The following is a 4,185-nucleotide window of genomic DNA, read 5'->3' as shown; positions in this document are numbered from 1 at the left end:
ACAGATAAATTTGAACTTTGCATTAAAAAATAATATCCAGTAAATTTTTTAAGAATAAAGCACTACCTTAAGAAAATTGTTTTGTTCTAACCAATTCTTTATGGTATACATGTTCTTTTAATAGAAAACCCAATCTCTGGAAATACCATTATAATTTCCCTTTAATTATAGACAACTTGATCATATAAGTTTTTTTTCCCTAAAGTTCCCTTATTATGATTTATACAAACCATTTATTACATGCTTGGACATTCTGGTTTGTCCTGAACATCCCTCTTTCTTAAAGAACCAGTCATTTTATTCTAGGACAAAAATTTACCTTATGAGGTTCTTTCTCATATAAATTATTTTTCTTTAAACTTTCTTAACAAAAATACCTCTTTATTTCTATAATGTTCTTTACATCTCTCTTTTTTCCTGGTTCCTTTCACCTTGTTTTATATATAACATTTGAATAAGTTTTGAAGTAGACAAACAATATTCACCTTTTAACAAGACCACATATTTTTTAAGAAAGAATGTTTTCCTACATGTGTACATTTTTTAATTGAAAAATATCCATTTAATGAAATGTCTATTATTTACCTGAATATAAGTTTAGATTCTAAATTATGACAAGTTTATCTACAAGTACTTATTTCATTACATTTCCATAATTATTTTATTTTAATAGTTTACCTAGATTATTTACGAAACCTGCAATAGTTATCATTTAATGTTACTTTCCTGTCAACCATTTTATAGCTTGTGGATTTCAGGTGTTTACCTAAGTGAGAACCTTAAGTTTAGATACATGATTATTTTACAAAATAATTCAAGTTTTAGCTATTTTCATTAAACCAATATTAATGTCTTATTTATCAAAAATTACACAAGCAAAGGTCATTCTGTTTTGGTCTGGGTTTATATTTTAATAACTCTTATTTCAAATTTTGACCCCTTATAGTATTTGGTAGAGATACGTATGAAGTCTCTTGACTCCAGAAAAGGAGTTTTACAGCAAAACAAACTTTGGATGTCAACTAAATTGGGGAGATTAAAGATTCTCTAGAGAAAGCGGGGGGCTCCAAAGCTTCAGCAATTTGTCCTATTGATTTGAGCCATAAAGAGCTCAAGTTGGTACCAAGCACTGATAGGAGATTTGCCAAAGGTTAGGGCCACCTCCACTCAATGTCCCTTCCATTTGTCACCAATTTGTGAATCCAAAACATCTAAGACAAGTCTCAGTCAATTTAGAAATTTTATTTTGCCAAGGTTAAGGTAGTGTTAGAAACAAATGCTTGTTCCTTGGTGCCAAAAAGAAGAACTAGCACACCAAGAATTTTTCTCAGCAAGGCAACTTTACTTCTATAGAAGCATGTGACTTGTGGATGGAACGATGGAAAGAGAATACCTGAACAAGGGAGGGGAGGGGATTCTTATTCCTGACGCAGGTAGCCTCTGCTGCTGTGTTGTTCCCCTATTGGCTAGGATTGGACCACACAGTCTACGCTAATTACGATTGGTTATTTTAAAGAGAGAGGGGTACGAGTCAAAGTGGCAGGGTGAGTAGTTTGGCAGGAAGGACAGTTACAGAACAGGTGACTCAGGATGAGTCAGTATGGAGCAGGTGACCAGGGGTGACTCAGGTCAAAGCAGGTGACCAGGGGAACAGATGTGAATTACTGATTAGAACTGGCGGGTAAGTTGTTTACTGAAACTAGAGGCAAGAGGATGAAGAGAACCAGGAAGTTAAACTTTAAAATGGAGAACAAAGAATAAGAGAGCTGAACATACTGACATACTGATTCTTTGAAGATAAACTTGGAATTCACTATATTTAACAGTGGTAGGGACACAGCTTGCTTTACTTATATTTTAGGGAGACATGAGACATCAATCAATATATGTAAGATGTACATTGGTTCTGTCTGGAATGGAGGGACAAGTTGAAGCAGGGAGGGAGCTTCCAAATCATAGGTAGAAAATAGATAAATAGTTGCATTCTTTTGAGTTTCTGATTAGCCTTTAGCTGAATACACAATTTACAGGAATAGCCACTTGTGCCATAGTCTAGCTTAGTGAAATGATAGGGTAAAGGAAGCAATTGGATATGCATTTGTCTCACTTGAGCAGAGGGATGACTTAGAATTCTGTCAGTCCTTTTTCCATGAGGAATTTCCTTGTGGGCTAATTGTGACAGAGATATGTAGGTTTTCCTTCCCTTCCTTCCTTCCTTCCTTCCTTCCTTCCTTCCTTCCTTCCTTCCTTCCTTCCTTCTCTCTCTCTCTCTCTGTAGCTATCTTATTTAGGAATAGAATGGGAGGCAGGTTTGCCCAAGGCAGTTCCCAGGCTGAGTTTTCCCTTTGGCTTGATGCTTTTGGGGTCCTGAGATTTCTTTTCCTTTCACATCTTCAAGTCACAGAGTCAGAGCAGTTTGATGTGGCTCAGAGAGTGAGTTGGACCAGGTAAACCCAAATTACCTTTCTTGCACCTAAATTCTACAGAATCATATGAGCAATCTCTGCTTCTTCTATAAAACTTTCCTGCTATTGAGGCTCCATTGATGACTCAGTCCTCAGCCTAAAAAACAGTGCATGGTTCATGGTCAAATACTCAATTCTGTAATTTTATTCAATCATTCACTGTTGCTGTGTTAGTGTGACTCCTGTATCCTCCTCTAAATGGCAAGGGGTTTTGTCTTTTGAAGGCCTGGATATTGGCTTTGTTGACCAGATATAAATGGTTGTATATGTTGTTGTTTTTTTTAAAGGGCATTTTCAATTGAATATTGTCAGCAGCACTCTGATAATTGGTTTCAGCTGCATTGTTTATTTTCTGTCATCCTTAAATTGTTGTTTTTTTAAATCTGTTTTTGTCCTCAGAATACTTACAGAATCTTAGAACTCTCTCCCTTGCTAGTAACACCCATACAGTGGTTTGTTTAAACATTTAGCAATTGCTAGGGAGATGGCAACATTCTCACATCTCGAGGAATCTCACAGTAAAGGGTCTGTTAGTGTCTTGCATCCTCATTATTAGATTCTTCCAGTTAAAAATGAAACCTAAAAGGTACTTCCCACTTTGCATGAGTTCTAGGAGGAAATCCCATTGAGACCATGATGATAGCAAGATTAAGTTTCAGATAATTTGTTAACTTCTTGTTGCGTGTGTGTTTTATTTTTTTTTTTAAGATTTTATAGGCCTTTTATATTTTTGTGTCTTTTAAAACATATGCAGGCCACAATAATATAATAAGGTGTATTCACAGACCCTGAACTCTGGCAGACCTGGCCCTCATTCTGGTACTTCCACTTACTAGCTGAGTGACCTTGACAGGGCCCTTAGTATCTTTGAACATCACTTTTCTAATCTGTTAAAAATGGGAAGAACAATAGCACAATCTAGCAGAATTGTCATGCATATTCAGTGAGTGGGTGTGTATTCTCTTTGTATTCAGTGAGCATGTGAAGTGCTCAGTGCAAACTTAGAATTAAAAAACCAATGAATGATGGCAATTTGTATTATGACCATCATCATATAGGAAATTGAAATTAAGAAAATTTGTCTATACACAATATTTCTGTATACCCAAAGATGACTATTACTATGCTGTTTATAAAATTAAATAGTAAATAAAAATCCAACTGACTAGTGTTAGAATGAAGAATATACCAGACAAGATTGTGTGTATTAAAAATTATATCTATAAATACTTAGAAATAATATACAAGTGTAGTTTCCCTTTGCAGTTAAGTCAACAAAACAGAAGATAAGATTTAATATGTAGCTTGAGGCTAACAAAGTACAGACATATCTTCCACACATATAAGCATGGCATATGCAAGCTGCTGGTGATGGCAGGAATAAAGCTACGTGACCTGGAGGATTTGCTGACAGCACTAGCAGAAGAGAAGCAGCAGGGAGTGGCTTACCTGAGCATTTGCATATCAGCACATTGAGAAGAAAGGAAAAATATATGAAACAGTGAAGATGCAGGCCTCAGCCTAATGGTCAGGAGCCATTAGTACCACTTCTTTATCTTGCTAAGGCATTTTGGGCAAGCCCAAATAGGTTCCTCAATGGACCCATTTGCTCTTCTGTAGAAAAAAGGTCACATTAGATTAAAGAGCACGAATGAAGATGATAGCAACCAGACTTTCCTAAGGGCCTACTAAGTGTCATGTAAGTTTCATATTTTGCCTG

The 4,185-nt window shown here is 35.8% G+C and overlaps 1 annotated feature.

Moving 5' to 3' along the window:
* Positions 910-2,109: an enhancer, noted in NCBI's record as "P300/CBP strongly-dependent group 1 enhancer chr4:12422706-12423905 (GRCh37/hg19 assembly coordinates)". NCBI's record gives its function as "activates an origin of replication core promoter dependent on BRD2, BRD4, P300/CBP, MED14 and CDK7 cofactors, with strong dependence on P300/CBP, by STARR-seq in HCT116 cells {active_cell/tissue: HCT116}" and the evidence as "EXISTENCE:reporter gene assay evidence [ECO:0000049][PMID:35650434]".

Source organism: Homo sapiens, chromosome 4, assembly GCF_000001405.40.
Source record: "Homo sapiens chromosome 4, GRCh38.p14 Primary Assembly".
Classification (NCBI taxonomy): Eukaryota; Metazoa; Chordata; class Mammalia; order Primates; family Hominidae; genus Homo; species Homo sapiens.
Note: the sequence above shows the minus strand (reverse complement) of the source record. Positions and strands in the feature narration are given on the sequence as shown.